This window comes from Homo sapiens, chromosome 10 (genome assembly GCF_000001405.40).
Source record: "Homo sapiens chromosome 10, GRCh38.p14 Primary Assembly".
Classification (NCBI taxonomy): domain Eukaryota; kingdom Metazoa; phylum Chordata; class Mammalia; order Primates; family Hominidae; genus Homo; species Homo sapiens.
The window spans coordinates 132,367,070-132,386,813 of NC_000010.11; the positions used below are offsets into that span (position 1 = coordinate 132,367,070).

Sequence of the window (19,744 nt, forward strand, 5' to 3'; positions counted from 1 at the left end):
TGTGTCTTAACCCATCACTTCACATTAGGGACACAAAAGTCGATTTGGTATTATGAACAACTCTAGCCACAGATTTGATAAATTTAGTGAAATAGATTAATCCCTTGAAAGACAACATCTGCCAAAACTTACAGAAGAAATGAATATGCTTGTATCTATTACAGGAATTCAATCAATAATTAATTACCTTCCAAAACAGAAATCACAGGCCCAGAAGTGTTCACTGGTGAATTCTACCAAACATTTAAGGTTTAAGGAAGAAACTATACCAATTCTCGATAATCTCTTCCAGAAGACAGAAACAGAGAGAAAACTTTTTAGCTCATTCTCTGAGGCCAGCATTACTCTAATACCAAAACCATACAAAGATATTACAAGAAAGGAAAAGTGTAGACCAATATCGCTCATGAATGTAGACGCAAAAATTCTCAACATTCAGAAATCAAATCCAGCAATGTGTAAAAGCAATCACACACCCTAATTCAACGTTCAAAAATCAGCCAATGCAATTCATCACATCAGTAAGCTAAACAAGAAAAATCAGTTGGTTTTATCAATAGATGCAGAAAAAGCATCTGACAAAATATAACACCTATCATGATAAAAACTCTCAGCAAACTAGGATAAGCTGAGAACTTCCTCAACTTGTTAAAGAACATCCAGAAAAGACTTACAGCTAACATTATTCTTAATGGCAAGAAACTAGAAGCTTTTCCACTAAGATCAGGAGCAAGGCAAAGATATTCCCTCTCACTGCTGCTTTTCAGCCTCATGCTGGAACTCTTAGCTAGTTCAAGAAGACAAGAGAAGGAAACAAAAGGTATATAGATTGGGAAACAAGAAATAAAATTGTCTTTATTCTCAGATGACATGATTATGTAGGAAATCCCAAAGAATTGACAAAAATTTCCTGAAACTAATAAGTGATTATAGAAAAGGTTACAGGATACAAGGTTAATATACATAAGTCAGTCACCTTCCTGTGTACCAGCAATTAACTAGTGGAATTTAAGATTAAAACCATAACATTTAAATTAGCACCAAAACAATGGTACTAAGTAAAAATCTAACAAAATGTATACAAAATCTATATGAGGAAAACGACAAAACTTTAATGAAATAACTGAATAAATGGACAGATATTCCATGTTCATGGATAGGAAGACTCAATATTGTTGGTAGTCAGTTCTTCCCAACTTTAGATTTAATGCATTCCCAATCATAATCTCAGCAAATTATTTTGTGAATATTGACAAACTGTTTCTAAAGCATATATGGAGAGGATGAGACCTAGAATATCCAACACAGTATTGATGGAAAAACAAAGTCAGAGGACTGACACCCCCCAACTTGAAGACTCTAAAGCTACAATAACAGTGTGATATTGTCAAAAGAATAGACAAATAGAATAGAGAGCCCCAAAATAGACCCACACAAATATAGTTAACTGAGTTAACTGATATGACAGAGGAGCAAAAGCAACTCAGTGGAGAAAGCGTAGTCTTCAACAGATGGTACTGGAACAACTGCCAAAAACAAAAAAGAATCTAGACATAGACCTCACACCCTCCACAAAAATTAATTCAAAATGGATCATAGACCTAAACGTAACGTGTTACCGTACAACTTTTACAAGATAACATAGGAGAAAACCTAAGTGACCTTGGGTATGGTGATGATGTTTAAATACAACACCAAAAGCAAGATCCATGACAGAAATAATTGATAAGCCGGGCTTCATTACAATCAAAAACTTCTGTTCTATGTAAGACACTGCCAAAAGGATAAGACAGGCCACAGACTGGGAGACAATATTTGGAAAAGATACACCCGATAAAGGAATGTTATCTAAAATATACCGAGAACTCTGAAAAACTCAACAAAAAGGAGCAAACAAGCCAGTTAAAAAATGGGCCAAGAATCTGCAGAGACACCTCATCAAAGAAGATGCATGGATGGCAGATCAGCATGTGAAAAGAAGCTTCACATTGTGTGTCATCAGAAATGCAAGTTAAGGAGATTCACCATCAAAAAATCCAAAACACTCACCACCAAATGCTGGTGAGGACGTGGAGCAACAGGAACACTCATTAATTGTTGGGAATAGAAAATGGTACAGCCACTTGGGAAGACAGCTTGACAGTTTCTTACAAAATTAATCACACTCTCATCATACAATCCAGTAATCACACTCCTTGGTGTTTACCCAAAGGAGATGAAAACTTATGTCTACACCAAAACCTGCACACAGACATAGCAGCTTTTTTCATAATTGCCAAAACTTGGAAGCACCCAAGGTGTCCTTCAGCAGGTGACTGGATAAACTGGAACATCCAGATAGTGGAACGTTGCTTAGCACTGAAAGGAAATGAGCCGTCAGCAATGAGAAGACACGGGGGAGCCGACATGCCAGCATGAAAAGGCCGTACACAGATGGAGATGGTGAAAGGATCATGGTGGCCCGGGTGGGGGTAGTAGGATATTGAGGGGTGAATCAGCAGAACACAAAAGGGTTTTAGGGCAGTAAAACTACTCTTCATGATGCTGTATTGTTGGATCCATGTGATGATGCGTTTGTCTAAACCCCACAGACTGTGCCACCCCACACATGAGCCTGCATGTCGACTGTGGACTCTGAGTGGTGGTAACAGTGTGTCCATGTGCACGCATCGAGTGGACCACTCCAGTGTGGGATGAAGGCTGCTCTAGAAAAATCAAGTCCGGGTTTTTTAAAGTCTGCTTGGAAATCTGAAACCTGAGAGCTGGCTCTTGTGTCCCCCACTGTTCTCCCGTGCTCCCCCGCCCTGGTTACATGCAGAGCAGTGGGGCCATGAGACAAAAGAGAATGACCCAGAAGGACACTGTGGCGGTTGGTCTCAAATGCCTGCCCCAGCCACACCTGTCTCTCCATTGACTTTCGTGCCACCTAGGAGGAAGGCGGTGCCACCCATTTCACAGGTCAGAAAACCCAGACTCACGGAGGTGCCACAACTGGCCCTACGGTGACACTGTAAATGGTGGAGCTTTCAGTCCAACCTGGGTAGGTCTGAATGCAAAGCCAAGGTCCAAATACTGCACTGTCTTCTTGGGGACATGAATTGCCACAGAATTCGCCTTGTGCTTTAATGCCTGTCTCGTGTTTCTCTGTGATTAAAAAAAATTCATGTGAAGTTCCTGATGAAGGGTTCACGTCACCAGCACCGGCTCCTGTCGTGTGCCCAACTCCAAGTTACTGCCAAGATCCAGGGAGGGATGTGCTATGTCACCCTGCCCAGGAGACAGGGACATAAACACCCGCTAACTTCCCATGACAGGCTCCCTGCAGCCCTTGAGCCCAGAGGATGCCCATGAGGTGGGTCCCTTCACTTCAGTCCTGGCTTGGGAGAGCCAGAGGAAGGGGTTTTAAAACTCCCAAGAATGAGCTGGGAAGCAGCTGATCCTGCCCTAGAGGAGGTGAATTGTGTTGAGACAGGTGGTGTTGGCTGTCCACAAGCTCCAGCCATCCTTCTCCTCTGTCCCGCTGCCTCTCACAGAGCGCCGGGCGGGTGGGCCAGGGGAGAGGGGTCCCTGAGACAGACCAGAACAGCATGGCAGGCTCCGTGCCGCCTGATGGCCGCATGTTTAGGAAACGATCTTAATTATGCTTTTTTCTGAAATTTGCCTTCTGAGTACCTGGACCTCCTGTAGGCTCAGTCCATTTCAAATGACCCTCCCTTTTTCTGCTGCCTACACAGGCCCACTAGCAAAAAAGAAAGTACTGTGTTCTTTAGACTCAGTAGGGAACCTATTTGTATAATCCTGGTGAGACGATCATGCCAGCCCTCCCTGCAGGTGAAGTCTCGGGCTTTGCCAGAAGAGTGTGTCTTTCCTTAGAGCAGGTCCTGAGCAAACCCCGCAGCAGCGTTAGAGACGAGTCCTGGCTCCGTGGCTGTGTGGCCCACCAGCCTGCCGTATGGAGGCGGGCACGCATGTGCGTGAGACAGTTGGCATGTCCCAGGCAGAGAACCATCTAAGTTCACACTGCACCTCTAGAAGCAGAGGGTCTCATTCTCCCGGCTTCTTCCCCGGCCCCTCGTGTTTCCTTCAAGGCATCTGCGCAGTGCCGCGCATGGCGTGGCGCTGGCAAGGAGTCCTCGGTGGCATGGCGTGCGTCGGGAGCACCCCCCCATGCACCCGGGAGCCTGGCCTGTGGGAGAAGGGGATGCCAAATGGGGGAAGTAGGAGGGACTGGAGTCCAGCCCATGAGCCAGGAGCTTGCATGTGATTAGAGGACCAGGGTGGACGGGTCAGGGCAGAGAGAGAAGAAAGCCCAGAGGTATGAAAAGGAGATGCTGAAAGCAAACCAGCCAACAGACGTGGCCCTTCCAGGTCAACGCGGCCCATTCTGCACATAGGCTTATCTCTACTCTGCCCAGAAGCCACCAGAATGACAGGAAAGGGAGCAAAAACGACCTTCACTCCTCAGGATGAGGAAATGGAGAGGAGGCTGCCTGCTTGTCAGGAGGCTCCCCCTCCCCAGGGTCTTTCCTGTAATAATAGAGCCCCACGTCTCAGCTGGGCACAGGCTGCCCCACAAATGGCCACGTTTCTCAACCTCCCTTGCAGCCAGACATTGGCCTGTGGCTCTGTTCCGGCCGGCAGGATGTGAGCAGAAGATGAATGTGAACTTCCTGAGCTTTGTCCCCTCCCTTCCTGGCTGGAATGCAAACATGATGGCCGGAGCAGGGGCAGCCACCTCAGCCCTCAGGTGGAGGCCGTGGGCCAGGGCTGCAGAGCCAGTGTGCAGGAGTCTGTCTCTGGTGGGGGTGCTGTCCTCTCAGACACACTGCTCCACCTGGTCTCAGCTGCTGTCGTCTGGGGGCTGGCAGGTGAGCCCTTGTCCTCGCACATATGGAGGCCAGCACGATTTTGCACGAAGGAAGCCCCCTAGTGGTGCAGCATGAAGGGCCTGCCCAGCAAAATGCCAGCAAAGATGCACAGTGATGCAGCCCCAGAGCCTGAAAAGCACAGGAAGACAAAACCAACCAAAGAAGGATGGGAAGTGGGGGTCGGGGTGCGGTGGCTCACGCCTGCAATCCCAGTTGAAAAGCACAGGAAGACAAAACCAACCACAGAAGGATGGGAAGTGGGGGTCGGGGTGCGGTGGCTCACGCCTGCAATCCCAGCTGAAAAGCACAGGAAGACAAAACCAACCACAGAAGGATGGGAAGTGGGGGTCGGGGTGCGGTGACTCACGCCTGCAATCCCAGCACTTTGGGAGGCCAAGGCAGGTGAATCACCTGAGGTCAGGAGTTTGAGACCAACCTGGCCAACCTGGTGAAACCCCGTCTCTACTAAAAATACAAAAAATTAGCCGGGCACAGTGGTGTGCACCTGTAATCCCAGCTACGCAGGAGACAAAGGCCGGAGAATCGCTTGAACCCAGGAGGCAGAGGTTGCAGTGAGCTGAGATGGCACCATCGCACTCCAGCCTGGGCAACAAGAGCGAAACTCCATTTCAAAAAACAAAAAGGAAGCGGAGTCTATACAGGTCACGCCAGGGCCCTGGGTCTGCTTCCCTACTCTGCCCAGCCCACTGACTCCTCCAGCCTACCCAGCAGGAGCCAGGGCTGCCTCTAGATAAGCTGACCAACCAGGCACCACAGTGGTGACAGCAGCCATGTTTGGCCTAAAGAGACCTGCAGAAGGTCAGGTGCACAACCGACCAGGAGGGCTGGCCAGCTCCATGGCGCTGTCTGAGATATCAGCCAACCAAGACAGAAGCCACCTGGGCGTACCCTAGACAGCCCCAGCCTGCACTGAGCAGCCAGCAGCCCACCACCGACACCCCGATCTCAGCCTCGTTCCAGGGCCTCAGTCACGAGAGGTTCCTCAGCTGTTGAGGGAAGCCCCAAGGTGAGGGAGAGGCCAAAGCCAGCCGGCTGGGGAGCGAGCTTCGAATGGATGCGAACATTAGGGGACACTTAAAAATGACAAGCCAGAATTAAAATCCCCCCGTAGGAATAGACAAGTCTGCTGCCATGAAACCCAGCAAGCTGTTGTAGAAAGTGAACACTCAGGTAACCCAGAAGAACTCCCAAGGCAAAGTTTAATATGTGGCAAAAAATTTAAAAAATTAAATTAGTAGATGAATAAATCCCCCAGGAAGGGGAGGTGGGAAACAGATGGGACAAGAGGAAAGGAAGTTAGAGGACGACCTGAGCAGAGCGAAGCATCCGGCAGGTTCCGGCAGGTTCCAGCAGGAGAGACGAGAGCAGACGGAGGGAGAAGGTGCAGGAGGGCTCGTCACAAAGGAACCAACGTGCTTCCTGCTAGAAGGGCCCACACATGCCGGCACCATGGCTCAGCATCCCGAACCAGAGCAGGACGGACCCACGGAGATTCCAGGGAGGGCGGGGGGAGAGGATCACACAGAACCAGGCACTGGGAGGGAGCTGGTCGCGGTGATGGCACTGCCCTCAGCAGGCGCCGGGATTCGGTACTCCCATTGCAAGGTCAGGGGTCAGCACACAATAAGACGTTTTCAGATACGCAAAGACTCAAAATGCTGCTTCCCATCTAGAGAGTCTTTCTCCAGAAGCTACTGTAGAATTTGTTCTATCAAAACAAGGGAGTAGATGCTGAGAGAGGAAGGTAAGAGTTCCAGAAGAAAGGGAGCTGACCCAGAAGCCCCCGGCCGCCCCCTACTGTGAGAGGAGCCTGGCGGGGTCTCCACAGGGAGACCAGGTCAGTCTGAGGACTTGGCCAGTGGAGGAGGATGTCGAGAGAGGTTTACAGTTTGAGAGGATGTAATGACAGATGTAGAAAACAAACATTTTAAAAGGAGGCAGTTATGAATCCCACAGGGAATACAGGTTTCTATGGGAAGCAAAATTCGTTATCAATGACTACTTACTGGGTCAGTAACAAGTAACATTGACCAAGTCGCAGAGCTGAGCCGTGAGTGCTGCTCTAGCCCACAGTTACGATATGGGGGCGGGGGAGGCTGCAGGGGTCTCCGGGGACCTGTTGTGATATGGCTGCATGGTGAGGGGGTGCAGTGGCTCCAGGGACCTGCTGTGATTATGGCTGCATGGTGAGGGGGTGCAGTGGCTCCAGGGACCTGCTGTGATATGGCTGCATGGTGAGGGGGTGCAGTGGCTCCAGGGACCTGCTGTGATTATGTCTGTATGGGGCGGGGAGGCTGCAGGGGTCTCCTGGGACCTGCACTGGAGGTAGTGTCCAACCTGTGCCCCCAGCAAGGCAAGCCGGGGAGGGAGACGGGAGCCGGGTGGCCCAGGGCTCCTGTGCTTGGAGTGGGGGAGGTTGGGACTCTGCAGAGGGCCTGAGGGGCAGGAACGGGAAGATCCCCTCCTCAGTTTATCCACCTGAGGGCCCCCCGCAGTGCCCTCCTCAGCCTCACTTTGTTCTGCCCAGGGGATTGGCCGTGGACCATGAGGTTTGGAACAGAAAGCCTGCCCCTGGTTTCACGCTCAGCAAGTTCCTTCTCCTGTAGGAACCCCTGATCCACAGCTTCTGTGTCTGTGGGGTGGGGGTGGCAATTGTGGCCCCATCTGCTTCCCAGGACAGTTACGGCTCTAAGGTGTGGTCTTGGCTGTGGTGATGCTTGCCAAGACACTGCCCGGGGTGTGGCATCAGCCTTCCCTTTGCCCACAGGACGATGCCCTGAGTCTCTGTTCATCCATTGACCTGTGCAGATGCACAGGACACCTGGGTGGGGCCGTGGGGACACCAGGATGAGTGGCCATGTGTGTGCCTGCAGAGGGTGGTGTCCTCATGAGGTAGAAGGCCTGGGAGCCGGCTGGAAGTAGGCTGCTGGGCCCCATTGCAGGGGGGACCGCGCCGTGATGCGGCTTGCAGGGGCCCCGGGGCAGCGGGGCTGGCTCTGCTGACGCCCACATGGCCTGGGCCCCACGTGGAATCTGAGCCAGAGACGTGGTGACGCCCTAAGTCCTGCCAGCCTTTCTAACATCTCCCCCTCCTTGTCTCCCATAAGGCCACAGAGCTACAGGATGAAGTATTGAAGCTAAAATTGGGATTAACCTTGAACAAAGATCGTCGACGGGCGGCCCTCACTGGAAACCTTTCGCTTGGCCTGCCGGCAGCACAGCCTCAAAATACATTTTTTAACACAAAATATGGAGAATCAGGAAATGTTCGCAGATACCAGTGACACCAGGTGGCTGGACTGATGGAGACGTCTTCAGACAGGAGCCGCTCAGTCTTCTTTCCCGGGCGTCGCCTCCTGTGTGGTGCCGGAAGAGCGCCAGGTTCAGTGTTACCCTGAGGGCTGATTTCGCGCAGCCTGTTGTTTTCCTTAGACAGGTCCACGTCCCTCTCCTGAGGCTGTGGAAGATTTCAGCCGTATTAAAAGAAAGGACACTGTGAGCACGTGGTCTCGCCTTCCCTTCTTCCTGCAGGTTCCCGCCAAGCCATGTGACAGAGTGCTCACACTCAGGCACTTGCCTCTCTCCTGTCCTGGAGCCCTTGTTACAAAAGTACTCACAGCTTTCCTTCACTTAGTTATTTGAGTGTGGGAGAGGAGACCAGGTCACCCGATTCCCGCCAAGCCGGAAGTCCCTGCAGCACCACCTTTGGCTAGGAGGGAGGGGTGACAGCCAAAAAGGGCTTCGGGGGAGTGGTTACCCTGCTCCCTGCCCAGTGACAAGCCCTCCTTTCCCCTGGGGGCCCTCCTTTCCCCTGCTCCCTGCCCAGCTACGGGGCCCTCCTTTCAGCCTTGACCCCTTCCTGGTTGCTACCACTCAGGCTGCCACTCAGTGGACTCCACCCCAGGGACACGGCAGGGTCTGCAGACCTCCCCATGCTAGATCAGCCGTATTTCATGCTCTGTCTGCCCAGGCTGTGTAGATTCTGTGTGACTTAGTCTCTTGTGCTGAGTGTTTGCTTGGATCTTGAAAACATCTTTGGTTTGATTTCTTTAACAGAGGTGAGACTATTCAGACTTTGTTTATTTTTGTGTTAATTTTGGTAAATATGGTTTCAGTGAGTTTCCTCATTTCATCCAAGTTGTGCAATGTATCAGCATAAAGTTCCTCTTATTTTCAGTATCTTTAGGATCCGTAATAATGTCCCCTCTTTTATTCTTGACCTGGTGTTCTTCATCATTCTTGCTATGGATTTATCAATTTTGTTCCTCTTTTCCAAAAGCCCCAGGTTTTGGCTTCACTGGATTTGCTGTTTGTCTTCTGTCTCATGGGTCTCTGCGCCCTGCACTTCGTACTTTCCGAGAGTTTAACTGGTGCTTAGAGAGAAATGCATCACTTCCAAACCCATGTATTAGAGAAGAAGGGCGTGAAATTTATCACCTAAGCTTTCCATTCAGGAAGCTAGAAAAGGTGTCAGTGACCTGTTGCGGCCCAGCGGCTGGAGCAGCAGACGTTTGCCATTTCTCACGCCTGAGGGCAGGCGTTGGAGCAGCTCAGCCGGCGTTGCTGGTCAGGGTCTCCCGTGAGGCTGGAGTCAGCCGTGGGTTGAGCTGCTCTCCTCTGAAGGTTTAACTGGGCTTGGGGCTCAGCTTCCAAGGTGCTCACCTGGTTGTTGATCAGAGAGCGTGTCCGTTGTGATCCCAGTCCTTTGAAACTGTGAAGCCTCGCCCCGCGGCCTGCCGCAGGATATGTTTTGGTAAATGTAGACTGTGCACTTGAGAAGAATGTATTTTGAGTTGTTGGGTACATTGTTTTGTGTGTGTCAGGTGACATTGACTAATCCTGTTGCTCAGAGCTCCTGTACCCTTACTGACTGACTTAAGCCTGGTTTCTCAGTTACTGAGAGAGGCCTGTGAACAGTTCTAGCTATGATCATGAACATGTGTTTTCTTCTTAGTTATGTGAGTTTTTGCTATACGTGTTTTGGGGCTATTTTGTCAGATGCCTACAAATTTAGGATTGTTTTATCTTCCTGTCGAACTGACCTTGTCATTATTATGAACTATTTCTCTTCGCCTCTCCTTTTCACTTCTTGCCTTCTGTGGATTTTGTCTGATACTAATCCAGGCACACTGCTGCTGTTTTGGTCAGCGTTTTCATAATGCATCTTCTTCCCTCCTTCTACTGTACTGGATTTAAAGCGCACCTTATAGAGACATCATATACTCGGGACTCCTTTTCTTTCTCTAGCTGCCAGTTCTGTGTTTCAGTTACAGTGTTTGGCCCTCACATTTAAGGTGCGTGTGCGTACGGCGGATTCCGTGCCCATCTCATGTTTTTATTCCCTTTATTCTTCTTTTGCTGCTTTCTGATAGTGATCAATTTTTTTATTTATATCTCTTGTATTAGAGTTTTAGTAATATCTTTTAATATTATTCTCTTGGGTGTTGCCTTAGAGATTTCATACATGCCCTTGAGTTCATTAGCATTTCCTGAATGAGCCAATGACCCTGAGAAGGTCCCTCCCATCTGCCAGTTCCCTGCCATTGATGCTGTTGCTCTCGTCCGCCTCCCTTCCACAGGTAAGCACGCAAGACACAGGTACCGTGTGCCCCAACGGTGTCTTGACTCGCTGTTCCTAGACATCAGTGTTTGCTTCACTTTACCCATCCCGATGCTCTTCCTTCCTGCAGCTTCATGCTCCAATGAGGGCTGATTTTCATTTAGCTAAATAACTTTTTTTTAAGTATTTCTTTGTATCATGGTTATGCTTTGACTGGCCGTAAGTTCTCTCAGCTTTTGTTTGTCTGAAAATAAATTTAGTTCGCCTTTATTCTGCACAGGACAGAATTCTAGGTGGATGATTTTTGCCATTCCCAGAACTTTAAAGATGGGCTCCACTGTCTTCTGGCTCCCATGTGTTTTGTTAAAAATTCAGTGTTCAGGCCGGGTGCTGTGGCTCACGCCTGTAATCCCAGCACTTTGGGAGGCCGAGGCGAGTGGATCACGAGGTCAGGAGATCGAGACCATCCTGGCTAACACGGTGAAACCCCGTCTCTACTAAAAAATACAAAAAATTAGCCGGGCGTGGTGGCTGTAGTCGCAGCTACTCAGGAGGCTGAGGCGGGAGAATGGCGTGAACCCAGGAGACGGAGCTTGCAGTGAGCCGAGATCGCGCCACTGCACTCCAGCCTGGGCGACAGAGCGAGACTCCGTCTCAAAAAAAAAAAAAAAAGATTCAATGTTCATTGTTATTTGTTGCTCCTTTGAAGGTAATGGGTCTTTTTTCTTTGTCTTAAAATTGTTTCTCCTTATCTTTGGTTTTCAGCAGTCTGTGCTGTGCCTGGATGTAATTTTCTTTTTACGTATTTTTCTTGGAATATACAGAACTCAAATCTGGGAGTTAGCATCTTTCATCAGTTTTGGAAAATTCTTAGCCATTTTTTTTTTTTTTACTATTTTTTCCCCTGTTCTCCCTCTTCTCCCTGAGACTTCAGTTTTGTGTGTGTGTGCACATGTGTGTATGCATTCGTGCGTACGAGTGTGTGCATGTGTGCGCCCGTGTGTATGTGCATATGTGAGTGTGTGTGGCTGTAACCTGCACGTCTCTTCTGTCATGTGTTCTATTTTTCATTCCTCTCTGTACATCAGGCTAGATGCCTCCTGTCTACGTGGTTTTAGATTTACGAATCCTGTCTTCTGTTGTGTCCCACAGAAAAACCCATGAGGTTTTTTAACATTAAAAACAGCAGCTTTATGATAGAGAAAAAAACACAAACATAGACGATTGTACCATTGCACTCAGAAGAAACATCCCAGGCCCTGAGCAGCGTGTCTTTCCTCGGCCGAGTCAGGCTTCCTGGTGAGCCTCAGGGAGTGCATGGTCTCAGATGCCATCCTTCTCTTCTCCAGCATTTCCACTCACCTCCGTGTTCTTGGGGAGTGCGTGGTGTCAGATCCCATCCTGCTCCTCTCCAGAGTTTCCGGTCACCTCCGTGTTCTCAGGGAGTGCGTGGTCTTGGATGCCATCCTGCTCATCTCCAGCATTTCCTCTCACCTCCGTGTTCTCGGGGAGTGCGTGGTGTCAGATCCCATCCTGCTCATCTCCAGCATTTCCTCTCACCTCTGTGTTCTCGGGGAGTGCGTGGTGTCAGATCCCATCCTGCTCCTCTCCAGCATTTCCTCTCACCTCCGTGTTCTCGGGGAGTGCGTGGTGTCAGATCCCATCCTGCTCCTCTCCAGAGTTTCCTCTCACCTCCGTGTTCTCGGGGAGTGCGTGGTCTCAGATCCCATCCTGCTCCTCTCCAGAGTTTCCTCTCACCTCCGTGTTCTCAGGGAGTGCGTGGTCTTGGATGCCATCCTGCTCATCTCCAGCATTTCCTCTCACCTCCGTGTTCTCGGGGAGTGCGTGGTGTCAGATCCCATCCTGCTCCTCTCCAGCATTTCCTCTCACCTCCGAGCTCTCGGGGAGTGCGTGGTCTCAGATCCCATCCTGCTCCTCTCCAGAGTTTCCTCTCACCTCCGTGTTCTCGTTCTCATCTCTGCCGGAATTCCACATCTGCTCGTGCATGCCATCCACCTTTTCCACTAGATCCTTTTACATCATCATTATAATGATTTTTTTTTAATAAGTGTTTTCTTTCAGTTTTAAATTTCAGATGTTGTGTTTTTCAGGTCTAAGGTGTCTGGTAATTTTTTGTGGATGCCGATTCTCTGTTGAAATTCTCCATCTTTTCATTTCCTTTATATCTCTTTTCTTCTTTTTTCTATAATATATTACATTTTTCTAATAAGTTTTTAGTGAGTGTCCAGCATTGTATAAGTTGACCCTTGAACAAGAGTTTGAATTATAAGGGTCCACTTATAAGTGGATTTTTAAAAAAATATATATTGCAAAAATTTTTGGAAATTTGCAACAATTTGAAAAACTTTGCAGATGAGCCACATAGCCTAGAAATATCTGAAAAAAGAAAAAGTTATGTCATGAATGCATAAAATATACAGACCATACATGGACCATTCACAGTAGAGAGAAATGTCGCCGTAAAGATGCAGCATTGGCCGAGTGCAGTGGCTCACGCCTGTAATCCCAGCACTTTGGGAGGCCGAGGTGGGCAGATCACCTAAGGTCAGGAGTTCAAGACCAGCCTGGCCAACATGGAGAAACCCCGTGACTACTAAAAATAAAAAATTAGCCAGGCATGGTGGCACATGCCTGTAACTCCAGCTACTTGGGAGGCTGAGGCAGGAGAATCACTTGAACCCGGAAGGCAGAGGTTGCAGTGAGCCGAGATCACGCCATTGCACTCCAGCCTGGGCAACAAGAGCAAAACTCTGTCTCAAAAAAAAAAAAATGCAGCATTAAATTATAACTGCATGAAATTAACTGCAGTCCACAGTGTGCTGCTGGAATAATTACAAAGCCACCTCCTGTTGCTATTGCAGTGAGCGCAAGCATGTCAAGGATCCGCTTAAAACATCGTGTGGTGCTAATCTCTGCACGAGCGGTTCATGTCTTCAGTACATTGTGTATCACGGTAAAAAGTGATCTGTTTTAACTGGACATGGTGGCACACGCCTGCAGTCCCAGCTACTCAGGAGGCTGAGGCAGGAGGATCCCTTGAGCCCAGGAGGTCGAGGCTGCAGTGAGCTGTGATTGCACCACTGCACTCAAGCCTGGGCAACAGAGTGAGACCCCAACTTGAAAAAAAGGGGACATCGGGATGTTCTTGTGTATTTTTCATGTTGAGCGCAATACTGTAAACCTTGAAGAACACTTTGGGACCCATAGAGTGCCACCAGTCATGCCAAAGAGCTCCTGAGAAGCAGAGAAAAGTCATGACATTTCAAGAAAAAGTTGAATTTCTTGATATGTTCCGTAGATTGAGGTTTACAGCTGCGGTTGCCTACCAATTCAAGATAAATGAATCCAGCGTAAGGACCATAGTAAAAAAATAAGGAAATTTGTGAGCAGGCACAAAAGCCTTAACACTTTCTGTGAAATACCTTTTTATCTTGTATTGGGAATGCAGCTTTTATGTGGGTATAGGATTGCTGTGTGTGATGGTTCATATTAAATGTCAACTTGATTAGATTGAAGAATGTAAAGTATTGTTTCTGGGTGTTGCCAGAAGAGATTAACATTTGAGTCAGTGGACTGGGAGAAGACCCACCACAGTGTGGGCAGGCACCATCCAGTCGGCTGCCAGCATGGCTGGAAAAAGCAGGCAGAAGAAGGTGGCTGAAGCTGACTGGCTGAGTCTTCTGGCCTTCATCTCTCTCCCATGCTGGATGCTTCCTGCCCTTGAACATCAGACTCCAAGTTCTTTAGCTTTTGGACTCTTGGACCTACACTGGTGTTTTGCCAGGGGCTCTCGGGCCTTCGGCCACAGACTGAAGGCTGCACTGTCGGCTTCCCTCCTTTAGAGGTTTGGGGACTCAGACTGAGCTACTACTGGCTTCCTTGCCCCTCAGTTTGCAGACAGCCTATTGTGGGACTTCACCCTGTGATCCTGTGCCTCAGTTCTCCTTAATAAACTCCATTTCATATGTATATATATCCTATTCTGTCCTTCTAGAGAATACTTACTAATACACTGAGAAAGGTGTACCTGTAGTCTCTTCAAACAAAAGGAAGGGGAAGGAACTGAAGCTGGAGAATCTAATCCCAGCAAAGGATGGTTTGATAATTTTAGAAAGAGGCTTGGCTGGAAAAATGTCAAGATAACAGGAGAAGCAGCTTCTGTCGGCCAAGGGGCAGCAGACAAGTTCCTGGATACGGAAACCATGAAGAAAGTCACTGAGGAGAAAGAGGAGAAAGGATATCTGCCTGAACATGTTTTTAATGCAGACATAAGTCCCCTATTCTGAAAAAAAAAAAAAAAATGCCACAGGCATGAATTAGGAAGACAAGCAAGTACCAGAATTTAGGGCAGGAGGGGAGAGGCCAGCTCTGCTGTTCTGTGCAAACACAGTCAGATTATGATCAGGACTGCCCTTATCTAGAAAGCTGCTAACCGCTGAGCTTAAAAGGAAAAGAAAAACACCATCTTCTCCTTGGTTGTACAAGAAGGCTGGACAAGAACCTCTTTTCTGGGTTGATTTCATCGATGCTTTGTCCCTGTAATCAGGAAGTACCTTGCTTCCTGTAAGTGACTGCCTTTTAAAGTTCTGGTATTGGACAATGCCTCTTGGCCACCCAGAACCCCATGAGTTCAACACTGAAGGTGTCAAAGGAGCCCACTTGCCCCCAAATATGTCTCCAATGCAGCCTCTGGCCCAGAGGCCGTAGGGACCTGGAAGCCTCATTGCATGTGGCACTGTATGGACAGAAGTGTCAGTGCTGGCGAAGAGAACCTCAGGGGAGAACACCATGAAAGGCTGAGGGATTACACACTAGACGTGCCGTCATGGTTGGCAGCAAGGCTGGGAAAGCCACGAAGCCTGAAATGGCACATTCTTGCTGGGGAAAACCGCGTCCAGATGTTGTGTACGACTTCCCAGCATTGATGGCAGCCAATTACGGAAATGATGGAAAAGGAATGGAATCCCATCTCTTGCCACCACCTGGATGGAATGGAGGCCATTATGTTACTTGCAGTAAGCCAGGCACAGAAAAACAAGCATCGCTTGTTCTCACTCTTGGGGGCTAAAAAAGTGGATCTCACGAAGATAAGAGCAGACTGGTGGTGACCAGAGGCCAGGAAGTGGGGAGTGCAGGGGGTGACTAATGAGTGGAAATGCACAGTGAGATGGAGGAAATAAGACCTGGCGTTCAATAGATCAATAGGGTGACTACCTAACGTTAGTCAGTTGCACATTTCGACATAGCTAGAAGAGAGTCATTCAATGTTCCTAGCAGAAAGAGAAGAAATAGGTTGATGGGCATCCCAGTTACCCTTACTTGATCTTCACACGTTATACGAGTGTATCACATTATCACATGTGCCCCCAAAATATGTACATTTATTATATATCAATTAAAGAAATTGTGGAGATAGCAAAAAAGATGAGGGTGAAGAGTTTCCAGATACAGGCCTTGGAGAAATTCAAGAGCTAATAGACGCTGCACCACAGCAATGAACAGGAGAGACTGAGGGAGATGAGTGTTTCCAAACCAGGCCACGAGGAGGAGAAAGACGTAGAGGAAGCAGTGCTGGGAAAGAAGGTGACCCGGGACCCTGGCAGGAGCATTCCTGTCATTCAAGCTGCCTTTGCCCTCTGTCAGGACATGGGCCCTTCTATGATGCAGGCATGGAAACTAAAGCCAGCGCTGGAAGGAGGATTGGGACCGCACAGAAAGTTTAGAGAAATGAAAGAGCAACGTCAGGCAGAAATTACATGTATGTCCGTCACGTTACACCGAGTGTGCCTGCCTCCCCTGCCTCCCCTGCCTCCTCCCCCACTTCTGCCTCTGCCACCCCTGAGACTGCAGGACCAGCTCCTCCTCCTCCGTCCACAACCTGAAGAGGGGGAGGACAAAGGCTTTATGAGGATCCACTTCCACTTAATGAGTAGTAAATAGATTTTCTCTTCCTGATGATTTTCTGTCTTACTGTAAGACTACAATATGTAATATAACATACAAAATATGCGCTAATTGAACGTTAATGTTACCAGGAAGGCTTCCCGTCAATGGTAGCCTATTAGTAGTTCCATTTTGGGGACGTCAGAAGCAATATGTGGATTTTCAGCTGCGTGGGGCATCAGCGCGCCGTAAACCCCACGTTGTTCAAGGGTCAACTCTGTAAACAAACCACAGAGACTAAGGACAATGCCGGTTTCCGTGAGAGGACTGGCCCTTTCCTCTGTGAAGCACATAAATGGGGACAGGTTTTATCACCTTCATCCCGGCAGGGCTTGCGCTGGGTGGAGACTGGGTCGCAGCTTCAGTTACTCCTGGTCAGCCTCTGCCTTTGGCAGGCTGGTGGGTGAGACCTGTCCTGGGCTTGCTGTGAACCCGAGATTTCACCCTGTCTCCAGAACAGCCTCTCAGCTTCCTGTGCTGGTACCAGACCCTGAAAATAGTCTGGGGGACCAGCCGTGCCTCTGATGCCCTAGACCCTGCCCCAGGGCCTCCAGCAGCCCTGCTTCCTGTCTGTGACGCCCTGGGCCTCAGCCTGGGCAGGCCGGGATGCAGCAGCTCCAGTCCCCCTCGAGGCCCTCCAGGGCTGCCCCTGGCTCGCAGCCTCACACGCACCCCGTGACTCCTGCGTCTCCTCTGACTGCTGCGTCTGGCCTTCCCTGGTGGCTACAAGAGCAGGAGGTCATCGCTCACCTGGCCCAGAAGTCGCACTTCATTCACTGCCATCTTTTTAAAAGAATCACTCTGCTTTAATTATGCTTCTTAAAACAGTGTACAGGAAAAACTCCAAGCCTGTTAGGTTGTGTTAAAAAATACAGCTGATAGAAAATTCCAGGTTATTCACATGTAATGTGGTAACCACACACTTGCTTGCATTCCCTCCATCTTTGTTTTGATCAAGTCTCTTCATTCCATTGTTCTTGGGAACCTGCAGTCCCTCTATGCTCTTCCATTCCCCCACTTTCTCTCATATCAGACAGATATTTCTCTCTTAATTTTTGAAAATTGGGCTTTCTCTTCCCTTCCTTTTCTTCTCCCCTGCCTCGGCTGAGGCCTTTAGAAGTCCTGATGTCCTGTTTCTCTCCACCGTCTCAGTTATCTGTTGCTGTGACAGACCACTTAGTGGTTGAAAACAGCAGCCTCCCCCTGATCTCAGAATGCTTTGGGTTGACCGAGCTCAGCAGGGCGGCTCTCCCGTCCTCAGGCTGTCCGTGGGGGCACCAGCGATCTGATGGCCGGGCTGAGCTGAGACGTGCAGGACGGCACCCTCACACACCTGGCGCTCTGGCCAGGTGGCCTGGAAGGTTGGTCTCAGATGGGATGCTGGGATCACTGGAACTACCTTTCTCAGGACGTCGCTGGCTCCCATGGTCCCTCCCTGGGGTCTCTAGCAGGGTGCCTGGCCTTCCTCCATGGAGGCTCAGGGCTCTAAAAGTGCAGAGTGGGAGTGTCCAGGCCTTCCAAAGGCTTGGGCCTATCCTGGCATGCCCCAGTTCCTCCGTATTCTCCTGGGGAAGGTGAGTCCCAGGGCAGCCCAGGTCTCTGTAGAATGACAGGCAGCGACCACAGCCTGCCTCCTGCCCTGTGCGTGGATGCTGTGAGTTGTCCTGGGCTGGATCCGGAAGTGCTGAGTCTCATCCTTGTCTCTCTGAGTCGATGTTATTGTTCTGTCTTCTGGCTCCCAGACTTGTGGAGGCGCAGCCTGGGTCAGCAGGATTCTGTAGAGGCATCTCCTGTCTGTCTGGAGGCCATGGTATACTCACCAGCCTTTGAGTTCAGGTCTTTCTCTTCAGCTACACCGGGACGTCAGGAGCCCCTGGGCTGTGGGTGCAGCTCTTCCTCCATTTCAGGAAAGCTGTTTGCTTCTGTTCTTTCAAAAATAGCGGCCTCTCCTCCACCTGCTCCCTCTGTCATTCAGGGGCCCCTTTGATGGATTGTTCAGCTCTGGCTGTGTCCCCGAGCCACACTCTTTCCATTTCCTTCCTTTTGCTCAGTATTTGTGGACTTTTTTCTACTTCCTCTTTCACACTTTTCCTTTGGATGCCAACATTCGCATCCTCTCTGTCGGTTCATTTGCTGATGTGTCCTTGGAAAACCCTTTATTTCTTGGCTCTAGAAGTCTCGTGTGGGGTGTGCCGTGCTGGGGTCCCCTTGGGCCCTGGCTGGTGCTGCTGGTGCCATCTCTCTGGCACGGGTCTGTTTGACTAAAGTACCCTTCCCTCGGGAACTGGTGCCTTTAGATGGGAGGCGATTCTTTGGTGGCTCCTTGGGTCAGGCCCGGCTTGGGTCAGGCCTGGCTACCAGCCATGGGTGGTGCGTCAGGGCCCTCCCTGCTCTCTGGCCAGTGCTGCGGACATCGCCCCTCTGGGCAACACGTGCACAAGCACCACTCCATGTCCTGGCATCTCCAGGATGGGGTGTGGGTGCCTGGAGCTGGGTCTTCATGGGAGACAGGAAGAGTGAGGTGCACCCACCACGTGGTGCCCCCTTGTCCGACTCTTGTCTGGGGGATTCCAATTGGGGTCCCCTGAGACCTTTTGTTTGTATGAACCTGCCAAGATGCTGCCCACCTTTCACTTGAAGCCACCAATCACTGCTTCTGCTGTGACACAGAAGTGCGCCCTGTGTTGGCCTCAGGCCCTGGGCACAGCCCAGCCTGAACATTGCCGTCTAATCAAAGTCCTGTGGGTCAAGGAGCTTTCATGACAAGGTGCTGCTGGATGGGCCCTGGGGAGAGGCTGCATATTCCGTAGGGAGGACCGGGCTCCTGGCAGAGGCAGCAGCTGGAAGGCGGGGTGGAGGCAGGGATGAGCTGGCCACTTGTTCTCCGGGAGGGCCCGCCATGGGAATCCATGTCCTCCTGCCTGTCTTCCGGAGGCCACCTTCATGCCCTCATTTTCCACATCACCCTTCCCGTGGTCATCTGCCCTCTCTCACCCTCTAAACCCCGACCTCACTCTGTGAGAGGCCCCATTTCAAGGGGAGCGGGAGAGCCTGCCTCCCGGATGGCAGTGGCGGGTAATTGCTGCTGGGCAGGGTAGAGGAGCTGGCACAGAAGCCACCACCCAGACCCCTGCTTGGAAGGTGCTTACAGGCTGGTGGGGAAACGGTGCTGGAGGCCCTGGCACCCACCCTCCACCCTGTGACTCAGCCCATCTTCTGAACGTGGCCCTGCTCCTGATGGGGCCCTGCAGCCAGCAAGTCCCTGCGGCCTCTCTGGATCCTGTAACCTCTTATAGATTTCAGGTGTCTGGGCAGGAGGCGCCCCTCTCCC

General features: G+C 50.1%; 1 protein-coding gene across 6 annotated transcripts in view; it reads left to right on the plus strand.

Annotated features, from left to right (window-relative positions):
* Positions 1–14,439, plus strand: part of LRRC27 (leucine rich repeat containing 27) — a 51,446-nt gene extending 37,007 nt beyond the window's left edge. For all 6 annotated transcript variants that reach the window (XM_011540208.2, XM_047425785.1, NM_001143757.2 and 3 more), the window contains one exon: positions 7,997–14,439. In XM_011540208.2, the coding sequence (XP_011538510.1) occupies positions 7,997–8,173 (177 nt within the window). In that variant the 3' untranslated portion in view covers positions 8,174–14,439. The remainder of the gene's footprint in view (positions 1–7,996) is intronic.
* Positions 14,440–19,744: the final 5,305 nt, after the last annotated feature.